Here is a 25,479-nt window from a genome sequence, read left to right on the forward strand (position 1 = left end):
AAATTCTATGTAAATTCTATATGTATTTCTTTTGTCTTGCTGCATTCTCTCAGTATGATGCTCATAAAATTCATTCAAGCTGCTGTATCAGTTGTTTGTTCCCTTCCACTGCTGTATACTATTTACAAATATACAAATACACCACAACTTATCTATGGTACTGGATTTGTCTCTAGCTAATGAATGTTTTGGTGGTTTCCAGTTTTTTATTATCACAAGCAAAAGTGCTAGAACGTTTTTAAATTTTTTTAAATTTTTATTATTATTTTTTAGAGACAGGGTCCCACCATGTTGCCCAGACTGGAGTGCAATGGCTATTCACAGGTGTGATCATCATGCACTACAGCCTTGAACTCCTGGGCTCAAGTGATCTGTCCGCCTCAGCCTCCCAAGTACCTGGGACTACAGGTGCATGCCACTGTACCTGGCATTTGAACATTTTTATACTTGTATGGTGCTCTGCAATACATGTTTCTCTAGGGCACATACCCAAGAACTATATAGCTAAATCAAAGGATATGCACATCTTCAACTTTACAAGATAATGACAAACGGTTTTCCAATGTAGTTGTTTCAATATACACATCCATCATTGACGGTTCTGGTTGTCCCATATTCTCAACTGGAAGACTCAAATTTGAAAATGTCTGCCAATTAGCCAGTACATAATGGTATCTCATTACACCGTTATTTGTATTCCCTGGATGCCACTTTTATGGAATTACCATTTTTCTGTCCTTTTCTTAGACTAGTGGTTCTCAAGTAGGGGCGACTGCCTCTATGGGGACATTTGGCAATGTCTGGAGTCCTTTCTGATTGTTATACTGGGGAGGGGTGGTATAATTAGTATCTAGTAGGAAAAGGCCAAGGATGCTGCTAACCATTCTACAATGCACAGGGCAGCCCCACAACAAAAAATTAACCCGGTCAAAATGTCAATAATGTCAAGGTTTGAGTAACCCTGGCCTAGACATTTCAGAGCTGAAAAGAACCTTAGAGATCACACAGACCAGGAATTTTTTAGCTTTTTTTTTTTTTTTGAGTAGCTGAACCCCATGTCTTTATGAAAGCCCAATATGAAACAGTTAAAGCAGGTTATTAATAAAATCCTGGAAGGAGTGAGAGGGTGCAGTCGGGCGTTCTGAAGCCTGGCTTCCTTAGCATTTCTCTCATCCTCTTCTAGCAACAGATGGCACTGAAGAACCCTTAGAATTCCCTGGAGCAGTTTTAAAACCACCAATCTAATCCAACCTCTTAATTCTGCAGATGGGAAACATCATGTGCATAAAAACTACTAAGGAACTTGCCCAAGGCCACAACAAAACCCCTACCAAAAGTCTGACTTTTCATCTTCTACTCTGATGGTTTTTAGATGTTTATTCAACACATATTTACTGTGTCTAATTATGCCAGGCACTGTTCTAGATGCTAGGGCTATAGGATGTGGGTAAACTAAGTCCCTGCTTTCATGAAGCTTACATTCTAAGTGGACAGATTATAGCATAAACAAATGTGTAACGTGGTATCATATAGCAATAAAGACTACGAAAACACACGAAGCCAGGTAAAAGTGAAGGGGTCCTATTTTAGATAAGATAGTCAAGGAAGGCCCTCCTGAGGAGATAACATTTGAGCAGAAACCTGAATGGAGGGAAGAAGACATGCAGGCATCTGGAGGGAGAAGTTTCTAAGGCAGAGGCCCTGAGACTGGATGTGCTTAGTATGCTCAAGGAGTAGCAAGGGGAGGGTCAGAGTGGCCAAAGCAGAATATGAAAAGTAAGAAAAGGTGAAGGGAGAGGTAGCCAAGTACTATTACATCATAAAGGGCCTTCTGACTGCTGTAAAAAGCTTTTAACACAAATACGATGGAAAGCCACCAGAGATGTATGAGTGGAGACAGGCACAATCTGACTTATATTTGAAATGGATTGCTCTGGCACTGCGGACAGAAAACTGTGTGTATGTGTGTTCATCTGTGTTGCGGAGTAGATGAGGAGAAACAGCAAGTAGTGGCAGGGAGATCAACTGGGAGGCTACTGAAGCCATCCATAGAAGAAAAGCTGGTGGTCTGGACAAGGTGTTAGTTGAATGAAGGAAGGAAGGAAAAACTGAGTTGAGAATTACTTCAAGGTGTTTGGCTTGACCATTGAGGTGAATAATGGTGGTGCCATTTAATGAGCTGCTCAGCACTGGAGGAAATCAAATTCATGGGGTAATACTGGGTTGAGTTTTGGACACATAAGATTTAAGTTGCCTAGCGAACATCCAGCATCAGAGCCGCTGAGTGATGGTGAGGTGTATGAGGGTGGAGACATAAATCATATGACGGTATCTAAAGCCATGAGACAAGATGACCTGGGGAGTAAACATCACTGTTCTTCTGCTCACTTCCTCTTTCTTACAGGAAGGGCAAAGCCAGGTTCTGTCACCACCCTTCCACTCTCGGGGGACACTAGGGGGGGAACTCCTCTTGCATTTGGCATTAGGGCTGTAGCTGTTTTTTTTAAGTAGATAAATAAAAAGACTGCTAATACTACTATATCCACTTTGAAATGCCCCAAAGTAAAAATACAAGCATCTGAAAATTTTACCAACGATCTCCATAGGAAGCCTAAAGCCTCATTCAAAACCATTTTGAGGGAACAGTGCTTCTTATAAGAATGACTTATACCAGCTTTAAGTTTTGACAGTCCAAAACCTTCTTTCTATCCCATGAAAGTTTGGCAAAGAGGCTTACCATATCTTCTCACCCTGAAAAGGAGTCCAGATCCACATTTGTTAAGCAAAAGTAAAATGAAAGGATAGAGGCTGATATCGACTTGATTCAAGCAAAACTTTTCCTCAAACTATAATTGTGTGATCTTTAAGAAACAATATATCCACTTGCCAGAGACATTGTGGAAATCAATCTTGCATGTGGATGAAGTCAGTAGTCCTTAACCCTGGCTGGCCACGAGAATCACTTGGGGAGCTTTTTAAAATACCAAGGCCAGAGCTCTAACTCTGACCAATTAAATTAGAATTCCCATGGATGGGGTCCTAGCACCAATTGTTGTTTTTCACATTTTCCAGGCAATTATAATGGGCAGTCTTCTGGACAAATATTTGTCCCCCCTCACCCCAAATTCACATGTTGAGGCCCTAACACCCAGTGTGAGGTGGAGCCTTTGGAAGGCAATTAGGGTTAGATGAGGTCATGAGGATGGGGCTTCCATGATGTAGGATTAGTGTCCTTATGAGAAGAGATTGGAACTCTCATATTCTTTCTCTTTCATTCTCTCAACAGAAACGTATTTTCTCACAGTCCTGGAGGCTGGAGTCAGAGATCAGGGTGCCAGCCTGGCTGGGTTCTGGTGGGGGCCCTCTTCCAGGCTTGCTCATGACTGCCTTCTCTCACTGTGTCTCTCCCGTTGTTTGAGCCACAAAATCTGTGGTATTTTATTATCACAACCTGAGCTGCCTAGACAGGATGTTAAGACTAGATGATCCGGGGATCTCTTTTGGCTCCAATATTGCACAATTTGATGTAATATTTGATAATTTCTGTCTAATTTTGTAAAATTTCATGCTAGCAATGGAACTAAAGAAGTCTTTGTTTTAGAATATCCTTCTGAGAGTTAGGAATGTAGATCCAGGCTCCTTGGCTGTTTAGCATCTCAGGCTGCATTGTGATAAGGAAGCAGACAGAAGAACTGGTATCAAAGCCAAGTGTTTATCCAAATTCTACATTAAGAATATAACGTTTTCAGTGAAGGTAAGATTTCTAAAGAGAATTTCCATAACATAAGCTGAAAACATTTTCTTCCTCTTCTGACACTTGTTAAAAGCTAAGGACAACAAAATCCATCTCTTCTTTCTATGACCACTGTGACTAATGCAGTCTAGACATTTAATTACACTTGGATTCATGCAATAAATACCTAATTGGTCTTCCAATATTTAGGCTTCCCCACCCTCAATCATCCTCTGTTCAGCTGCCTAAGTAATCTTTGTATTAACAGAATGGGTATGTCACTATGACACTCCTTTCCTTAAAATCCTATAGTGCTTGCACAACAACGTGAATATAACTAACACTATTGAACTGGGCACTTACAAACAGTTAAGATAACAATTTTTTTTTTTTAACTGCAATTCAGACAAACACACACACACACACACACACACACACACACACACCAACAGAACAGTTCCAAAATGGCAGGGGCTGGCAGATCCTTCAGTGTCTCGCCATTATTTCTGGACTGAAATTGAATTTTCTTAATAGGACCAAAGGTTCTCCATAGTGTGGCTGCTGACTCTTACTCTTCTCACTCCATCACTCTCTCACATGCACACTATCGTCTAACTATAAGCAACCACTTGCAGTCAATAGTCCTTTTTGTCTCTAGGTTTTTGTAGATGTGAAAAAAGAGTACATGTGAAAAGTAAGAAAAAGAAAGCCAACAACTGAAATCTTCCAGGATAACACCAAAAAAAGTGTTCCAACCTTGGCTTGGCTACATGGAACACAGAAGGCATCTACCATGGTACCAAGGCATGAAACAGATGAGCCAGGACTCCCCAGCCCTTCAATCAGCAGGTGGGCTGCAGCCACACAAAGGCTCACCACCTGAGGAACGACGTCTTGGCTGCAGGGTAACTTACTGAGTGTGGATGAGCACGTGCTGCTTGAGGTCCTGCCTCCGCATAAACAACTTGTCACAGTAATCACACTTAAGATTCTTCTCCCCAGTGTGGATAACCATGTGGGACTCCAGGTGAGCCTTCTGGGTGAAAGACTTGTCACACAAGGTACACCTGTAGTTCTTCTGACCTGCAATCAGCCCAAAGTATTACACCGTGAAGAAAACAACTGCTGGCATCCCCAAGACACACAGGCACACATATGTGCATGCAGCAGAGGCAGGAATGAAACAGAGCTGACTGGTAAGCAGCATTTTACTTTCTAGGGTTGTCTATGTGAGACCACTCAAGAGCTCCTGAGTTTATATTCTGCAACTAAAGCTAGTAAATTAATTTGATCTCCTTTAGGACCTCTGACCTAAATATGTATTTTTAAAAAATGTATAGGTGATACATAAAACTTGAAAAAAATGACTTATAATCCTAATGCCCTAACACAAACATAAAGAAAAAAAAAAAAAACTCATGAATTCTAGGACGTGTCTATAGGGAAACATACTTTTACAAGATAGATTTTATAGTTTTCTATCTTTTTAAAACATATAATATTGCCTCAAAACCAGGGATGAAACAAAATCCTTCCAAGAATGCAAAAATAAGATTCCTCTAAGGGGTCAGCAAACCTTCTCTTAAAGGATAGATAGAATTTTAGGCTTTGTGGGCCATAAGGTCTCTGTTGCAAAAGGATGGGGAAGAAACTTTTGAAGATCTGGAGAAAAGATGACCCCAACAAGAAAGCTAAAGCCATCAGTTATTTTGTAGTATTTATTAAAAAAAGTTAGTGGCCAGGCATGGTGGCTCAGGCCTATAATCCTAGCATTTTGGGAGGCTGAGGTAAGCAGACTGTTTGAGCCCAGGAGTTCAAGACCAGCCTTGGCAACATGGCAAAACCCCATCTATATTAAAAATACAAAAATTAGTCAGGTGTGGTGGCGCATGTCTGCAGTCCATGCTACTCAGGAGGCTGAGGTGGGAGGATCACCTGAGTCCTGGAGGCAGAAGTAGTAGTGAACCAAGATGGTGTCACTGTACTCCAGCCTGGGCAACAGAGTGAGGCCCTATCTCAAAAAAAAATTTTTTTTTTTCTTAAAAAGTACTAAAAGAAAGGTGTTGGTTTGCATGGGATTTAGAAAATGGAAGCTCAAAAAATAAACTGTGGCAATATTTATTGAGCAATAATATTAAAGGAGAGAAACTGGCTCTGGCTGGTGACTGGGGGGTGAGCTCTAATGAGAGGCTCAGACTCAGACTCAGAAGCTTCTATTTAAGACCAAACACATTGATCAACTTCCTGATTATTAAGTGCATTTTCCCAGGCACCTTCCAACTATGGTGGGGAGACCTGGAAAGCAGAACATCCTAATAATTGGAAGTGACAGCCTCCAAGGAATCTCAGTTAAACCACGAAGGTTTCTTTCTCTGACATCAAATCTCAACTCCACCTACAATCCCTCTACAAAGCCTTTACTACCGCATTTTCTAATTGTTGCAAAAATTCCATTCTGATGGGCCAACACAACTTACCTGTATGTATCTTGAGGTGGGTCCGCAGGTTGCTGGGATCACTAAAAGCCTTGCTACAGAAATCACACTTGTGGGGCTTCATACCCATGTGACCCATAAAGTGGACATGAAGTTTGGAAGGAGAGATAAAAGCTTGGGGGCACATTGAGCACTTCCACTTCCTTTCTTTGCTGTGACTTGGCCCATGGCTGCCGCTATGTCCCTGGGTAGGAAGATGGTTATGGATGTGGCTGGTCAGATGGGCTTTGAACTCTGTGTAAGAATTGCACTCCTTGCCACAGTTACAGAGATGCACATCTGGGTGTTCAGGAACACCTTTTAAAAAAAAATTACTCATTATCTCCCAATACTTGAATCTTAAAACTTGTTCTTGATATTAACAATCATTGCTTCCAGTTCTCCTTTCTCTCCATATTTCCAATTTGCCCACTTCCTATAAAACTAAAATAATGTACTAAGGGCATCTAAAATAATGTACTATGGGCCAGGCACAGTGGCTCAGGCCTGCAATCTTAGTGCTTTGAGAGCCCAAAGTGGCATGATCATTTGAGGCCAGGAGTTTAAGATCAGCCTGGGCAACACAGCAAGACCCCATCTCCATAAAAAAAAAAAACTTAAAAATCATTGGCTGGGCATGGTGATGTACACCCATAGTCCTAGCTAATCAGGAGACTGAGGCAGGAAACTGCTTGAGCCCAGGAGTTGAAGGTTATAGTTGGCTATGACTGCACCACTACACTCCAGCCTGCCAGAGTGAGACCTTATCTCTAAATACACACATACATAAGTAAAATAAAATAGTGTACCAGGCACAAAGAAAGCACTTGGTAAATACTGGATTATAAGGCCTCTTTTGTAAGCAAAATATTTAGGTTTTATAGCATACCCAAACTCTTAAACATTAGCTGTCATCATGAAACAGCACAGCAAAGAGAAAGCATATGCAGGTTAAATCAAACCGAGGGACTTCGCTGTCCTTCATGAATTTATATCTCAATGGTGCTAGCTCGAAAAGTAGCCTAAGGAACTTCAATGCCCCAAACCAAAGTCCTACCATAAAAGACCGTATCATATGAATTATTGCTTGGTCAATAACATTCAGCTTGTGAAGAATCTCACAGATTTTAACACCTCAAATACAAGTAATAGTTTGCATTTATACAAACAAAGGTATATGATTTGCTTCAGCTAACATGTAAATCATTACCAAAACTTTAATCCTGGTCTTTGGTATTTTTACTAAGCCAGATTCATTATAAACACATATTAACTTACCAATCTGTTGAGCATAATCTCGGCTATAATAAAAAAGCAGTTCATTTTCAGGAGGGATATCTTGTGAGGTGCAGAAAAAGATTTTTCCATCATGAGGATAAGCCACCAAATTCTGCTCTTCCCGGTTCCTGAGTTATCACATTTAATAGATCAAGCACATTAATTTTGAAATGCATACTAAGTACAACATTCCCCCATTGCAAAATCCTATATGAAAGCTTAGGCAGAACTATTTACTATTTCCTCTGGAATGTTTTTGTAATTTCCCGTCCTATCTATGAGAAGGCAGTTGTAGAGAAACAGAATTCTTACTTCAACATATTAGCTGATGACCTTTTGTAGTCAAAAACACTACAGTCTGTTATTGGAAGCAAACAAGATAAATAAAATGAAGTCTTTAAAAAACAGTATGACAAAGACATAGAGCTAGCTAGCTAAACAAGAATTAACTCCAGTAACTCAGGGGTGGACTAACAGCCAATATAAAGAAAAGGCACCCACTTTCAAATTCAGTGGTAACTATATTGTTCCTTGGTAAGTGCCTTTTTTTTTTTTTTTTTTGAGACAGAATCTCACTTTGTCACCCAGACTGGAATGCAACAGCACCACCATAGTATGATCACAGCTTGAACTCTTCAGCTCAAATGATCCTCCCACCTCAGCCTCCCAAGAGCTGGGACTACATGCATATACCACAACACCCAGCTAATTTGAAAAAAACTTTTTTTAGAGATGAGGGTCTTGCTATGTTTCCCAGGCTGGTCTCGAACTCCTGGCCTCAAGCGATTCTCCCACCTCAGCCACCCCAAGTGCTGGGATTAAAGGTGTGAGCCACCATGCCTGGCTGCCTTGGGCTTTAAGTATGTCCAGGTGTTGGTGTAATTTGGATTCTTAACTCTTTCTTCTTTTATGCAAAGCTTCCTATTGAAAAACATCTAAATGGTAACTATTTTTTCTCATCCAAGACTACTCATACCTGGCTTTGCGCACAAACATCATCCAATTACATTCATTTTCATCAGTTGTAATGATGCAGAATTCTAGGACACCATTGTGGTATATCTGCCAACAGAAAGCAAGCACACATGTCAAATGCACTGACATGCAATAAAGCACTACATTACACTTAGGCCAGCAATCACCTCATTTACTCATTTGCAGTAGGTCCCAGCTTTCTTAGTGGGAAAATATATTCCTACTTCTCCAACATGCTATCATTTCAACATTCTCCCTATTTCCAGCAATACATAAAGACCATCAGAGACCTACAGTTAGTGCTCAGTGAAGAGACTGACTTTGTTTTTGATTATTCAACCTTTGCCTGGAAAAGACAAAAAACCAGTCTACCTGTCCACCTGTCTTCATCACCTATCACACAGTAGGCACTGAATGACTGAATGTCCATTAAGGGCAGAGGATCATCCCTTGTCATGATTTTCCCACTTGGGCCTAGCATTCCAAATTTAAAGTTCCCAATGACAGTGGTACCTTACCTTTCCAAAGATCACAAGACCCATTTTCTCCTTACTTCAATTTCGCAAGCATCATTCCCAATAGATATCTATGTGAAAATGTTGTATTTCTAACCCCTCATTAGAAAACTAGAAAAATAGGCCAGGTGCGGTGGCTCACACCTGTAATCCCGGCACTTTGGGAGGCTGAGGTGGGCAGATCACTTGAGGTCAGGAGTTTAAGACCAGTCTGGCCAACATGGGGAAACCCCGTCTCTACAAAAATACAAAAATTAGCTGGGCATGATGGCAAGTGCCTGTAAATTCAGCTACTTGGGAGGCTGAGGTGGGAGAGTCACCTGAGCCCAGGAGGTAGAGGTGGCAGTAAGCTAAGATTGTACCATTACACTCCAGCCTGGGCAACAGAGCAAGACTCCATCTCAAGGAAGAAAAAAAAAGAAAACTAGAAAAATAATCTTAGCTTCTTATTCCAGAATTATTTCCTAAGATAAACATTTGAGGAATGTTTTAATTACAAAGTAAGACTTTTATCATACAAACAAAGTCTGTGGCCTCAGCAGTCACAAGTAATTCAAATGCATTAAATGGTTAAAATAATTGGATTAACTCACAAAACAGAGACAAAAACAGTTTGTCCTCTATTTCCAGTAGCTGGTGTTTTGCTGTATGTTATAATTTGGCTACCAAGAATGATGAATGTAACATTTAAAAAAATGTACGTGAAATAAATGACTGACCAGTGAATGGCACTGTATCAGTTCTGGCTGATTTTGACTTTATCATAACTTTTTAACTACCTCTTACTAAGAAAAACAGCCAAAAGCCACAGAAAAGTTTCATCAGGACTGACCTTCCAGATATGGTTAACTGCCTTGTCTGTCCATTCTGCTACTTCCATGGAGTGACTCTGCTGGCCAATTAGAGGTCCAAAGCAAGTCCGCACAGGAATGGTTTCTCCAGTCCATACACCTGTCAGTGGAAGGACACCAACTACACAATCAATGATTTAAACAGCAAGATACAGAAGAAAGAGGTGCTTCACCCATGCAAAGAATCTTATTTTCAATGAATTTAACCAATATGTAGGCTGGGCGTGGTGGCTCACGCCTGTTATCCCGGCACTTTGGGAGGCCGAGGTGGGCAGATCACCTGAGGTCAGGAGTTTGAGATCAGCTTGGCCAACAGGGTGAAACCCGGTCTCTACTAAAAATACAAAAATTAGCTGGGCGTGGTGGCGCACGCCTGTAGTCCCAGCTACTTGGGAGGCTGAGGCAGAAGAATTGCTTGAACCCAGGAGGCGGAGGTTGCAGTGAGCAGAGATAGGGCCAATGCACTCCAGCCTGGGTGACAAAGCGAGACTCTGTCTCAAAAAAAATAAAAAAATAAAAAAAACAATATGCTAGCATTCCTCAGAGGTGACTAAGCCTTGTGGGTCCTAGCCCTGTAAATATATAAAATGTAATGAACAGATAACATAGGGCTCACAATAAATGCTGAGTAAGAAGAAATATCAGGAATTCCTGAACCTAGTTTTATCCAAAGGGAATCTTTTCATGTCTCTCCAAATACATTATTTTGGAGTTAAATATAAAAAAGTTTGTAGCTCACACATATAATGAGCCAACACTTTGGGAGGCCAAGGCAGGACTGCTTGAGGCCAGGAGTTCGAAACCAGCCTCGGCAACATAGTGAGATGCTGTCTCTACAAAAAAAATTTTTTTTTTAATTAGCTGGGCATGATTGCATATGCCTGTAGTCCCAGCTACTTGGAAGGTTGCGGCAGGATGATTGCTTGAGCCCAGGAGGTCAAGGCTGCACTCGAGTTACTGTACTCCGTATGTTAGGCCAGTGCACTCCAGCCTGGGCAACAGAGTGAGACCCAGTCTCTTAAAAATAAATAAATAAAAAATAACAGAAAACATTATTCTATTGTAAAAATATAAAGCAATTACTATAGAAATAAATCAGACTTCTAAAATCTTTTGTGCTTAAAGCACTGCTCTATTTTACCTAAACTGTTTGATGCTTTGAAATGACTCACACCCAAACTGCAGCTAAAAGAATAATGAACCTAATTTTATATTTCCAAAGAAATGTCGCAGTAACTCAGAAGCCATGCTAAATTCAAATATGGGTAAGTAAAGTCTGGCAATCTACATTCTTTATTCCTTTTATCTAAGGAGCATTATATAATTTACAAACATTTGATCTAAAGTTGTGTCATAAGGTGAATTTTCCATGTTTCTATAAAAGAAACTAAGTTTTAAGAAATGTGTTGTTAGAATAATTGTTAGTGGATGAGACAGATGAGAATAAAAGTTAAATCTTCAAAGACTCAGTCTAGGATTTTTTGCTTTACTCAATACTGATTCTAACAAAGGAGAGATTTCCCAATAAAGTTTTTGACTTGATTTATTGCTATCATCAGTGGACAAGACTAATATTCCATAAAAGCATAAATCTTAAGCCATAAATTGACTTTTGGTCCAAATAATTACTAAATTATACACATCCACTTTTACAACTCTACGCTACAAAGGAAGAAGAGATGTAATAGTGTTTTACAGTTCCAAGGTTCTTACCAACTTCTGCTCCCACAATTGACTGACGGAGAACAAGCTGCTTTGGGAGAGAAAGCCTTGCTCTGCTCTCTATTGGAGTGTCAGGAACAAAAGTCACTGGTCCATGTTCGGGACAGTCCGAGGGATAGGCGCGGTCACACAGAGTACACCCTGTAGATGGCAAATTTGAGCAATACAAATGGGTTTAGTTCAAGCAGGCTAAATTACCACCACGGTTTTTTTTTTTTTTGAGACAAAGTCTTGCTCTGCACCCAGGCTGGAGTGCAATGGCGCGATTTTGGCTCACTGCAACCTCTGCCTCCCGGGTATAAGCGATTCTCCTGTCTGAGCCTCCCATATAGCTGGGACTACAGGCGTGTGCCACCATGCCCAGCTAATTTTTGAATTTTTAATAGAGACAAGGTTTCCTCATGTTGGCCAGGCTTGTCTGGAACTCCTGACCTCAGATGATGCACCCACCTCAGCCTCCCAGAGTGCTGGTATTACAGGTGTAAGCCACCATGCCCAGCCCCAGGTTTTAATTTAAATGCTAATTACTAAAATGTATCCAGTAAGAAGCACGGTTCTAATAGAGATATTCTTATCAAAGACTCACTTCCTTACACTAACATATATACCTACTCTTACACCACTCTTCAGACTTCAGTAAGATCTGATTTTTTTTCTTTTGATCCAACAGGACAAGTTTCCTATTCAGTGCATAAGAGAAACACTAATGAAAAATTGGCTGGGTATGGTAGTTCACGCCTGTAAACCCAGCAGTTTGGGAGGCTGAGAAGGGAGGATCACTTGAGTCCAGGAGTTCAAGACCAGCCTGGGGTAACACAGTGAGATCCCATCTGTTTAAAAAAAATTAAAAATAATAATAAAAGAAAAAAATAGCACCATATTACTTCAACAATCAAGTACATTATCCCTTACATTAAGTAGATCGTACATTTAGGTATGATGCCCTAAAGTCCAAAAGATTCCAATTCTGAACTGTAAGAGGAAACTGAGTTGAAATGCTGTTAGTTATGCAGAGCCAAAATATGGCCACGGTGGTACAGCTGGCTCTGACCCCAGTGACCTATGCTATGAACATAGGACACTGGCGTCAGAGCCAGCTACACCACTGTACTCTTTTGCTTCACTATAAACAAGATGGTCAACCAAGTTTTGAGGACACATTCTTAAGACAAAAACAATTTGCAGCCTGCTCTTTCAAAGGGCAGAAGAATTGTATTCTTGCAGACATTATTTGCTTAAAATTCTTAATTTCTTATTTTTCATATGGTCTTTCTTTCTGCATTGGCAGAGAGGATGCTCCCTTTATATATTGTTCTCTATTCTTACTACAACTTCACTTTCACAAGCTTATGAGTGTCCTCCTCCGTAAATCTTCTGCTCTATTCTTTACACTTTCCACTCTGCTAAGGAACAGTATTTATGATACTATTACTCAATCATTACATTTAAACTCCACAACCATTCACAAAATAGTTGGAATACATAAACCTTAGAACCACAGTCATCTATCTGTCTTTTCTTTTTTTTTTTAAGACGGGGTCCCGATCTGTCACCAAGGCTGGAGTGCAGTGGCGTTCCTGCTTCAGCCTGCTGGGTAGCTGGGACCACAGGCATGCACCACCACGTCTGGCTGATTTTTTAATACTTTTGCTAGAGACAGGGTTTTGCCATGTTGCCTAGGCTGGTCTCGAACGCATGAGACCAGGTAGAAACACGGCAAATCGTCTCTACCAAAAATACAAAAAATCAGCCAGGCATGGTGGCGAGCACTTGTAGTCCCAGCTACTGGGGAGGCTGAGGTGGAAGGATGGCTTGAACCCGGGAGGTGGAGGTTGCAGTGAGGCTGAGATTGCGCTACTGCACACCAGCCTGGGTGACAGAGCCAGACTCTGTCTCAAAAAAATAAAAAAATAAATAAATAAAAATAAAAAATTAACTGTTGGCAAAAATGTGGAGAAATTAGAACCCTCATCCACTGCTGCTAGGACGGTAACATGGCACAGCCACTTTGGAAAGCAGTTCCTCAAAAAGTTAAACATACGGCAATTCTACTCCTAAATATCCAAGAACAGATGTTCACACAAAAACTTGTACATGAGAGTTCATAACAGCATTATTCATAGTAGCCAAAAAGCAGAAACAACCCAAATGTCCATCAACTGATAAATGGATAAACAAAATGTGGTATATCCATATTACAGATTATTCAGCTCTAAAAAGAAATGAAGTACAAATACATGCTACAACATGGATGAGACAGAACAGTATTATGCGAAGAGAAAGAAACTAGATCCAGAAGGCCAAGTATCGCATGATTCCATTTATATGAAATATCTGGAAAAGGCAAATCCATAGAGACAGAAAGTAGATTAGTGGTTGCTGAGAATACGCGGAAGGAGGGAATGGGAAGTGACTAATGGTTATGAAGTTTCTTTACCGGGTGACTAAAATGTTTTGGAAGGAGACAGTGGTGGTGGTTGCACAGCCTTGTAAATACACCAAAAAAACCACTAAATTGCACGTTTAAAATGTATACATAAATTATATCTCATTATAAACCACACACACTTAGAAGAGGTTCCATTTGCCCTCTTAAGAAAAAAATCAATAAGCTTATTTAGGCCACCTCCTACCTTCTGCTAAATTAGCCTTATATTCATTACATTCTTCGATTAAAACATTTTAAAACTCTAAATTTGAGACTTTAAAAGGTTAAAACTAGTCTCTCCATGGGCTGGATTTTGTGGCACAGAATGGTTCTGGGCTTCCTCCTATTTTTGATGCTCCCGTTGAGTCTATTTGGAAGCTCCTCTTCTGCTATATCTTGATATCCCTAGCCCTCTTCTCAGTCCACACTCTTACTAGATGATTTCATTCCACTTCTACAGCCACAAATAACATCTTAATGTTGATGATTCTTAAATATTTCCAGACAGATCTCTCTCAGGTCCACACACAACTTTTCATTAGACATCTCTACTGGGTGTCTTACAGACACTGAAATCAACATGTCTAAAACTTGACTCATCGTCACTCCTCCCAAAATAATAAAAATCAAAATCATATCCTCCTCTGCCTTTCACTACTACCCTACCTACTTAGTTTCTGTTTGCTTTTTTTTTTTTTTTTTTCCTGAGACAGGGTTTCACTATGCTGCCCAGGCTGATCTTGAACTCCTGGTCTCAAATGATCTTTCTGCCTCAGCCTCCCAAAGTGCTGGGATTACAGGTGTGAGCCAACACATGGCCTTCTCTACTTACCTAGTTTCTATCTACCTAGTTTCAGAAGCCAGAAACCAGGGTTTTCTCCTTAATGCTTCCCTCCTCCAACTTTATCCAATCGATAAGCTCAACTGGGTTCTCTGCAAATGTCCTCCACTCTTCTGCATCCTAATTACCTCTACTCTAGATTGGTGAGAATCATCACCTTTCCCATAAATTATGATATCTTCCACACCTCCTTGCCTCTTAACAAATTTATTCTCACATTGCAGCAAAGCCCTACCCCAACCCTCACTCCCTAAAACTCTTGACCGGTCTTAAAAGAGCCTTTGTGTTCTGGCTCCTACTTCTCCTCTCACCACATGACCCCTCTCTTCACCCTCATTTTATGCTTCAGCAATTCTGAAACACTCATGATTCTTTTGGTTCTAGGCACTTACAGGTGCCAGCTCCTGTCTTCCTGACTCTCAACTGCCCACATCTTTCTTGTCCTTAAGGTCTGTGCTAACATGTATGTTACTTCCCTTGGTTAAATCTTCCCCGACCCTTCCATGGCCTGGCTAGTTGCTCCCCTTCAGGCTACTTTAGTACCAATGCACTTCACCCCATCGTCACACTTATTATTATCCTATATTGTAACAGTCTCCTATGCTTCCTACCAGACTGTAAGCTCCTTAAAGGTATGTACACATACTGTCTCTTGGTAGATCGTTCTATCCCTAGCATCTAGCAGAGGCTGCCACATAGTAAGCACTAAAAAGCCCAGCATGATGGCTCACACCTGTAATCCTAGCACTCTGGGAGGCTGAAGCAGGAAGATTGCTTGAGTCGAGTTCAAGACCAGCCAAGGCAACACAGTGAGACCCCCATCTCTACAAAAAATTTAAAAATTAGCCAGGTGTGGTGGTACACACTTGGGGTCCCAGTTGCTCGGGAGGCTAAAGTGGGAGGATCACTTGAGCCCAGGAGGTCGAGGCTACAGTGAGCCGTGATCGCACCACTGCACCCTAGCCTGGGCGACAGAGAAACCCTATCAATAAATTAAAATAAGCACTCAACATGTTTCCTGCATGAATGAAACACAGTGACACCAGTAAATCAACTGTTTTTATATTGTTTTTTGTTGTTGTTGCCCAATAAGAAAAACTTTTACACGCCCAAGAATAATAATTTATATGCACTCTGAGCAAAGAAAAAAATTGGTTTATATCCACCTACATTTTTCCATGGGGTTATAAAAGTGACTGAATAATTTTCACAAGGCATGTCACAAACAGCTTTACTAGAATTTACCCCTATAACTCTCTATTTGTGAAACCTTGGGAAATACCTTAACTATTACTGGGCTAAACTTACCTTTTTTAAAAAAATATTGTATTATCACTATGATTGTTTTTTAGAGACAGGGTCTCACTTTGTTGCCCAGGCCGGAGTGCAGTACTATTCACAGGTGTGATCGCAGCATACTATAGCCTGAAACTCCCGGGCTCAAGCAACCCTCTTCCTCAGCCTCCAGAATAGCTGGGACTATTCACAGGTGGGATCACAGAACACTATAGCCTGAAACTCCTGGGCTCAAGCAACCTCCTGCCTCTGCCTCCAGAATAGCTGGGACTACAGGCACACACTACCGCATGTGCTAAGCTTATCTGCAAAATACAAAAATGACTACTTCACATTTCATTTCTTCAGGAGGATGCTCTAAGAACCAACTAAATGTATGTATATCATTTGGCTTACTTGAAGAAAAGGCACCACATTAATATAAAGGACAATACCAAGGCAAAGAAAAGTTCCAAGGTCTAGTTGCTTTCTATACTCCCTTAATGCCAAACTTTACGACTTAACTTGTTAGGGATGGTGGCCCTTTTTACAAATATTTCCAAAAAAGAAAGGCTAAACACACTCACAAATTGTAAACAAGGTTGCCATGTTCTCCTTGTTTGAATTGGAGTCTTCCATTTGCAGTGAAGGTGATACAAAAGAAAGACTGTCTGAAGATACATCTACATGACCTGTCCCCATAGCAACCTCCTGGGTGATGGAGGAGACAGCCACAGGTTCTAGGCTGAGGCCAACTTCATGGAGGGAAACAGATTCTAGGGAGGCAAGGTTGTGTGAGGTAGAGAGTGCCACGCTTACAGAGTTGGTGCTCATGGCCACAGTGTGAATGGAGTCACTGAGGGCACTGTCAGACATGCCATTGACCCGACTTGCAATGTGGTCTGTCTCCATGACCACAGGGAGCTCCAGGCCATTCCCATGCATGGGTATCACACCACCATGTCCTACAGCGTCTGCTGCAAGGTTGTTGCTCACAGAATCCACAGACAGAGGTTCATGACTTCTGGAGCCATTTGGGATTTGGGAATGCTCGCCTGCAACACCGTCCATCGTAAGCTCCTCTGCCATTCCATCTGTCGAAATTGGGCTGGTAACCCTAGAAACGTTCTCCATAGTGATTGCTGTGTCCAAGGCCACCTCATGGCCATCACTGGGATGAAGACTTTGGGCACCATGTGTGTTCACAGAGCGAGAGTCTATTGAAACAATGCCTGGTTCTAATCCAACATTTCCATTGGACTGATAGGGATCTAGTGCTGAAGGGTTATTGGTGATAGATAATGCTGTATTACCATCAACATTTATAGAGTTAGGGTGGATGTACTGTGGAGGTGGTCTGTCAGCTAAATAAGATAAAATGCCTGAGAAAAGGAAAAGATGAGATATCAGAGACTTTTAGTACATTATTAAAGAATTCCAAGCACTAGACGCTATTTCCTTACAAACATAACTAAGTTCAAATAATCTCCTGCTTCTTTAATTTAATCGATACACACTATTTTATAAATAGCAACATACATATACCGTAATTGAGTTTTTCCTGTAAAACTCGAAAATCCTAAAAAAGTTAACTATGTTCCTTTGAAGCTAACTGGGAATCACTAACGAAAACACTGCTTTTAATATACATATGGTTGCAATTCCTGAGTCCTAAGGTGTAAAATTTGCTCTCCTAATTATTAAAAGGTAAAATGATTTAAAAACAGATCTTCCATGTGAAAAATAAAACTTAATTAAATATAATTTAATATAATTAAACTATCATAACACAAACTATTTAATACAAGTCACAATTGTACCTGTTTTATTAAAACAAAAAAAAATTAACACTTGTGCTTGGGAGGATATGGTGAAATGATACTTACTAAACTGCCAGAGGGAATGTAAACTGCTAAAACTTCTTTGTGAAGCATATATATTAGGAGCCTCAAAAATGTTAATACCCTCTTGCACAAGAAATTCCACTTAAGGTACTCTTCTCTAAATCCATTTTGTAAATATTATACATAAAGACGTTCATAAGAGCATTAGTTACAATGGTAATAAAAACTGGAAAAACCAAACTGTCCAACAATAAAGATAATAAACCATCAAATACCCATTCAGTAGAAAGTAATGCATCATTAAAAAGGATAATTATGAAAACCACGTAGCAGCAAAGGAAAATACCCATGTAACAGCAGAGAAAAAGATAAAGTGAAAAAAGTAAAGACAGACAATCGTATAGAAAGTATGGTCTTGGGCAGGGCACAGTGGCTCATGCCTGTAATCCCGGCACTTTGGGATGCTGACGTGGGCGGATGGCTTCAGCGCAGGAGTTCGAGACCAGCCTCGGCAACATGCCAAAACCCCATCTCTTTTTTTAAAAAAGTTATTTATAAAAAAGAAATGAAATATGGTATGGTCTCAAGGCAGGCATGTGCCTGTATTCCAAGCTACTCAAGAGTCTGAGGTGAGAGAATCACTGGAGTCCAGGAGTTCCAGTCCAGCCTGGGCAAAATAGTTGAGACTCCGTCTCCATTAAAAGAAAAAAAAAAAAAAGAAAAGAAAAAAGAGAGCAAGAGAAGAAACCGTGGTCTTAATTATGAAAATTGGTAAAAACCTATACACCAAAACAAATGGCAGGAAGGAAGTACACCAAAAAGATGGATGATGGGACTGAGTGGTTCCTTCCCTTATTTGCTAAATTTTCCGCAATAAGCATATAATACTCCTATAACAGAATAAAAATTCAATGAACTTAAAAAACATGACACTATAACAAGACACTATAGTGCTTGACTGAAATTATAGCTGTAGAATTATAAACACCAAATGAAAGAGATACTGGAGGAGAAAGAAGAAAAATTATGTGCAATTAAGAAATTCAGCTTAGTCAAACTGTATTACTAATGTGTTATGTGCCACATTCTAAGAGGAAAAGTACATAAATATAAACAAAGATACTTTTCCTGCCTAGAGATTAATATCTAATAGTGACAAACAGAAAAAAGTGTTATTCATATCTTCAGGATAAAAGTTTAAAAGCTGGCGCCGTTCTTTTTCTCTAACATCTCAAGTAACTGTAACACTTACCAGGTAGAATGGTTCTGAAATAACTGCTCTCCAGGTGAGGGTAAGGTGGTGGAGGTAGGGTGTAGTTTCTTTCAGGTAACCCACACATCACCCCTCGATCCCCAATACCCATTGGTAGCATTAAAGACAGAGCAGAAGGCAGAGAGCTCAGGGAGGGACCCAGGTTTGGAATTGCCACTGGGAGGCCTACAAAACAAAATTTTTTTTCTCAGTTAAAAGAAAATAGGTAATTAAAAATTCTCACTACAACCACTGGCTAAACTCTTAGAAAGGTTTTTACACATGGGCAAAAATCTCACCTACTAGCCCTTTTCATCCTTAGATAATGTGCAAATATCCACAAATAAGCCTAAAGAAAGTAGTCTTAGTCCCAAAGATAGTTTTTAAGTTAGTTCTAAACCGGCAAGTTGATACTCCAATTGTCTGTATTGCGCTTAAATACAAAAATATTTAATTAATTAATTTATCGATTGATTTGAGACGGAGTCTTGCTTTGTTGCCCAGGCTGGAGTGCAGTGGTGTGATCTCAGCTCACTGCAATCTCGGCCTCCTGGGTTCAAGCAATTCTCCTACCTCAGCCTCCTGAGTAGCTGGGATTACAGGCACACACCACCACACCCAGCTAATTTTTGTATTTTTGCTAGAGACAGGGTTTCACCATGTTGGCCAGGCTGGTCTCGAACTCCTGGCCTCAAGTGATCTGCCCACCTCAGCCTCCCAAAGTGCGGGGATTGCCACCATGCCCAGCCAAAATATTTAATTTAGAATTAAAAACCGAGTTTAAATACAAGAAAACAAATTATATAGAGAAAAAAACAATGGAAACATAAAATGTTCATAGGAGTAGTCCCTAGGTAGTGATAGTATGAAATTTTTTTGGTATTTTTAAACTTTATTGTATTTACCATTTTATATGGTGAGAATATTTCATTTCTACCTGGAAAACAACGTAGTTTAGTTAGATGTAAAACTGTACATGTACACCTTCATACAATCTTTTGTATATATGCTACACTTAGTGATTAATAAAAGCTTTAAACGTGAGATTATATCTACTTTGAGTTATATGTACTTGCAAAGTGAAGTGACTTTTACTGGGCTAAGTATCATAATAAATACCCACCAACTTGGTCAGTGCTGATTTGCATATTTTTGCCAGGGGCAATATTTTTTTTTTTTGAGACAAGGTTTTGCTATGTTGCCCAGGTTGGAGCGTAGTAGCATGACCATGGCTCAGGCAACCTGAGCTTTCCTGGCTCAAGTGGCCATCCCTTCTCAGCCTCCTATGTAGCTCCTACGTAGCTGGGACTACGGGTGTGTGCCACCATGCGCTGCTAATTTTTTTTTTTTTCTTTGTAGAGATGGGGTCTCCTTATGTTACCTAGGCTGATCTTGAACTCCTGGGCTCAAGTGATCCTCCTGCCTTGGCCTCTCAAAATGCTGGGATTATAGGCGTGAGCCACTGTGCCTGGCTGGCAATATTTTTTAACAGGCTTTTCCACCTTAACAAGAGTGTCCACTAAAGGGAATGCCTACAAACAATCAAGTGGGTTAACCACTAATAATTTTTTAAGATTTCTTTTGTGGACACTTAAACAAATGTGAAGAGACCCTAGTTTCAATGAATCTTATTTAACTGCTGCATTTTATTAATTAAGCAAGTAATTCTCTTTAGAGAACTATTTAAACAATATATAGATTTATTTATACTAACTCCTACTGTGACAAAGAAAGTCCAATACATAACAATGTCATTGATCCTAAAGAACTGACAGCTTATCATTGTAATAATCAATAGAATATTTATTCCATTTATATTCTATTTCAATAGAATAAGAAAATGAAGCTAGGCAGAAAAAAGGTTTTAAAAGTACAGTGACGGCTGGCGCGGTGGCTCACACCTAAAATCCCAGCACTCTGGGAGGCCGAGGAGGGCGGATCACCTGAGGGCAGGAGTTCGAGACCAGCCTGGCTAATATGGTGAAACCCCGTTTCTACTAAAAATACAAAAAATTAGTTGAGCATGGTGGCGTGTGCCTGTAGTCTCAGCTACTCGGGATGCTGAGGCAGGAGAATTGCTTGAACCCGGGAGGCGGGCGGAGGTTGCAGTGAGCCGAGATCGTGCCATTGCACTCCACCTTGGTCGACAAGAGCGAAACTCCATCTCAAAAAAGAAAAAAAAGAAAATGAGCCAGGTGTAGGGGTGCATGCCTATAATCCTAGCTACTCAGGAGGCTGAAGCAGGAGAATCACTTGAACCCGGGAGGCGGAGGTTGCAGTGAGCCGAGATCGTGCCCCTGCACTCCAGCCTGGATGACAGAGTGAGACTCCATTTCAAAAAAAAAAGGATAGGAAGAATGAATTTTTCCTATACGATTTTGCTGTGTATGGAGGCTCATGAGGCGTTCCATGTAAAAGCCCCAGGTAAAAGTACCACACTTCTTTCCACATTAATTCTAGACCTGGTACACTTGCAGTTATTGCCATTTAATTTCAAACCTGGTGGAATATAAAGCCCAATTCCCCATGCTCTCTGGGAATAGTTATTAGAGTAATTTTAACTGATTCTCTTCTATTAACCCAGGGAACGGGTACTGAAGTGTGAACCAGATGAATGGGCAGCCCTAAATAAAATGCCAAGTTAATTACAGCTCTGGACAAAAAGCTACCAACTCAGAAGAGGACTATCAGAAAAAATTGCTGCTACTATCCACTAGAATTCTAATACTCTACCTCTACAAAAACCTTATTTTCCATTACCTATCACATGTTGAACCACCATTCAGGCCTGCTTACCTTCTCCCTTCTACCTTCTACCCTTAAAGGGGCTCTGATCTCTTCTAGACTCCATTTAGAATTGATAACAGAGTTAAGTGTTGAAATGCAGTAGGTCTCCCTTACCACTCACCTGGGGCAGGGATGGCACTGTGAGTGGGTGAGGCAGCCAATCCCAGGTGACTTCCTGAGACTGGCAAGGCATTGCTCACAGAGGATGAAGTCAGCTGCTCCATCCCCACTGGACTCAGGTTCATTTCATTCATCCTAGAAAAGAGCACACACAACTAGTTATGCAAAAATTTACTCCAATGACTCTGTATTAAGATACTGAAGAAACTGAAACAGTGGGGATGGGGAAATGGGACTTGGCCAACTATTAGTTCACTTTTACGCTCAACAATTCTCTTAGATAGCTAGTGCCATATTCTTTCTACTGATAAGAAAACTGAGATTGAGACATTAAAAACTCAATTCAATGTCACATAGCAGAAATAGGATTTGAATTCTGCCTTGTTCGAAACTCTAGGCACACCATCTAAAGCAAAGTCTGCAATTCTTAGAGCACAATGGCAATGACAGTTTTTTTTTAAATCACTCAAGCTTCATCTTTTATAATATTTATTTTTCTCCAAATGGCTTATTATTTCAAACCAGTAGTGTTTTAGGCAGCGCATTTTAACCTACTCAAGTAAATTTTACTAATCATTTTTAATAGGAGTTAAAGATCCAGATTATCGATGATGTGAAAAGCATCGTATTTTCCCCATTCAGCAACAGTTTACTAAGATTCTGTATCAGTATATTAATGTCCTCCAAATATTGAGGGTCATTATGTAAGCTTTGCTACCACTTCACTTAAAATGACTTCAAATCCTCACACCAATACTGCAACGTAAGATAGATGAGGGAACTATGGCTCAGAGAGGCCATGTCATATGCCCCAAATCACATAGCTATTAAGTGAAAGATCACAGATCAAACTGCAAAACACTGCCAAAAAGTTTTTCATTGCACCAAACTTTTTTTTAACTGCACCAAACTTTTTTTTTAACTACAGACTATTTTTGGCAAGGTGAAGAACCTAGGAATCACCTTTTCTATGCAAACCATCTTGCACTGCCATTACAAATGTCTTTCGAATAAGAGTAATACTGATTTGAATAAAACAGCACTGAAGGTTGTTATCAAAAAGTATTAGTTCTTATATCATAATTTAGAGACTGCCATACTATAAACATTACAGAACCACTAGGCTAGCCAACAGGTTACCCAAAAGGGGCTCTCTAATGACCTCCAGTCCTTACACTGGGCTTTATTCTCTGCGTATGGGAGGGGGTGAAGCAGAGAAGAGGAATCAAATGAGGTTACATATTCCTTAGCAGTGAAATCAAATCTAAATAGGTTTTTAATTCTGAAAAATGGCAATGCCATTTTATCAATCAACCTGAAAATAATAATAGCTAAAATTTATGGCTCCCTTACCATGTGCTATGTATTGGGCTAAGTGATTTATATGTAACTATCTCTCTTAATCTTCTTTTTTTTTTTTTTTTTTTTTTTGTTTTTGAGACAGGGTCTTGCTCAGTAGCTGCAAGCTGGAGTGCAGTGGCGTGATCACAGCTGACTGCTGCCTCTACCTCCTAGGCTCATGAGATCTTCCCACCTCAGCCCCCAAGCAGCTGGGACCACAGGCAAGTGCCACCATGCCTGGCTAATTTGTTTTTATTTTGCAGAGATGGGGTCTCCCTATGTTGCCCAGGCTGGAGGTAGGTATTATTCTTAATCCCACTTTAAAGATGAGGAAACTTAAGATTCAATGATGCTAGGAAACTTAACCCAGAATCACATAACCAGTAAGGAGAGCTGGGATTTAAATTCAGAACTAATTTAAGAAACCAAAGCTCTTAACTATAGTAAGAAAAAGACAATTACAATAAAAGAACTATATTGCCTTTTACACAGTTGCAATACATTAGGGCCTATCTACTTATATTGTGGCGTATATTTAAAGTTCCACATAGACCTGTTTCTTGCATTATTAGGTTTCACCCTTATCCCTGGCCATGGATCCCATAAAACTAAGCTCTAAGACATCAATAAAATGTAAAAGGCCAACCTAGTACCTTGTATAGAACAGACATTCTGAATTTTCTTATTTTATCGGATGGAGCTATGCAAACTCATCACCCTTACCAGAAAGACAGCTAGAAGCACCTGGCAAATGAGGTACACCTTATGAAGAACAGCATGCTAATAACAGTTTTTATTATGCTATAAAATAAAGCAGCCCAGGTGTGGTGATTTACACCTGTAATCCCACACTTTGGGAGGCCAAGGCAGAAGGATCGCTTGAGCCCAGGACTTGGAGACGTCCCTAGGCAACACAGTGAGACCCCTGTCTCTACTAAACATTTTTTTTAACTTAGCCAGGCATGGTGGTTCGTGCTTGTGGTTCCAACTACAGGGGAGGCTGAAGTGGGGAGGTCGGGGCTACAGTGAGCTCTGCCTGTACCTCTACACGCCAGCTGGGGTGACAGAGTGAGACTGTGTCTTAAAAACAAAAAAAGCAAAAAATCCCTGTAGCCTAAAGAAAACATATCTACCTTAATTTTGAAAGTTGCTGGGCTTGAGTTGGTTTAAAACAGACTTTTCCCTAACTCTTTATAGCTACAACCATAATTAAAACACTACAATCACTACAGCTGTAACAGCCTACTTAACAAATTGGTTACAATATTTTTTTAAAAGTACAACTACAAGTCTGCACCTTCAACTCTCATTCTGAAAATTCCTGAATATTTATTTAATTTCAAGATAAAAATCAGCATGGTGTTTCTAGGTTGACTCCTAGGCCTTCTCAAACCAGTTCAAACCAGAGTTTAATGCGAGAGGCTCAGCAGATTTCTGCTTTGTTGTGAGTCACTAAAACGTGATGACCTCAGCAGCCATAAACCAAAGGTAATGAGTATCCCACAGAGAGAAGGCAGATGAAGGGAATGTACAATATGATCCTCATAAGACTTTCTCATTCTAAAATGCAGTTCTATTCTCATTTTCTTTCTCCTATGAGATTCTAAGAAGCAATCCCGGAAGAAGGCAAGAATCAAGATACTAAGCTCTATCTTCCCTACTCATTTAGGGTAAAATAATTTCCTACACAGTTCTACAGTTTATGTGTGTGTTTCTAACTGACCTATGCAACCATCTGCCAGTTGCTGATTTTACACCTTTTTCTTCGCATAAAATATAATAAACTAACTGAAATGCAGCCACTTTGAAAAATGCAGTGGGGCTTCAATAATTTCAATGAATTTGTGCCTTATCTTCCTTATTCTAAACATACGGCCTTTGAAAGGGCCTTGAAAAAACAGCCAAATGCAACAATTTCTGTGGCCTGCTTCTGTACTTAAACATCAGCATGAAGCTTGCAGAATTAAGAACTTAATTCCCTCACTATCGTCCCTGCCATACCAGCAAAACTCAAGGTGAAGCATAATAAGATAACAATACACG

General features: G+C 40.2%; 1 protein-coding gene and 1 long non-coding RNA gene across 3 annotated transcripts in view; one reads left to right on the forward strand and one right to left on the reverse strand.

Moving 5' to 3' along the window:
* Positions 1 to 25,479, reverse strand: part of PRDM4 (PR/SET domain 4) — a 28,267-nt gene that overhangs the window by 1,865 nt on the left and 923 nt on the right. The window contains exons 3-11 of one of the 2 annotated variants that reach the window (NM_012406.4): positions 22,097 to 22,230; positions 19,189 to 19,374; positions 16,680 to 17,474; positions 11,540 to 11,689; positions 9,808 to 9,926; positions 8,462 to 8,547; positions 7,486 to 7,613; positions 6,211 to 6,525; positions 4,648 to 4,816 (exon numbers count right to left, since the gene is read on the reverse strand). In NM_012406.4, coding sequence (NP_036538.3) covers positions 4,648 to 4,816; positions 6,211 to 6,525; positions 7,486 to 7,613; positions 8,462 to 8,547; positions 9,808 to 9,926; positions 11,540 to 11,689; positions 16,680 to 17,474; positions 19,189 to 19,374; positions 22,097 to 22,230 — 2,082 coding nt within the window. Of the gene's footprint in view, positions 1 to 4,647; positions 4,817 to 6,210; positions 6,526 to 7,485; positions 7,614 to 8,461; positions 8,548 to 9,807; positions 9,948 to 11,539; positions 11,690 to 16,679; positions 17,475 to 19,188; positions 19,375 to 22,096; positions 22,231 to 25,479 lie in introns of both variants that reach the window. The other variant, XM_005268593.2, reaches the window with a different exon arrangement.
* On the forward strand, positions 1,820 to 25,233 carry PRDM4-AS1 (PRDM4 antisense RNA 1). Its single transcript, NR_120474.1, has 5 exons — positions 1,820 to 2,212; positions 3,287 to 3,754; positions 4,392 to 4,929; positions 23,540 to 23,657; positions 25,037 to 25,233. It is a non-coding gene; the product is annotated as a PRDM4 antisense RNA 1 (long non-coding RNA).

The sequence above is a fragment of the Homo sapiens genome, chromosome 12, assembly GCF_000001405.40.
Source record: "Homo sapiens chromosome 12, GRCh38.p14 Primary Assembly".
Classification (NCBI taxonomy): Eukaryota; Metazoa; Chordata; class Mammalia; order Primates; family Hominidae; genus Homo; species Homo sapiens.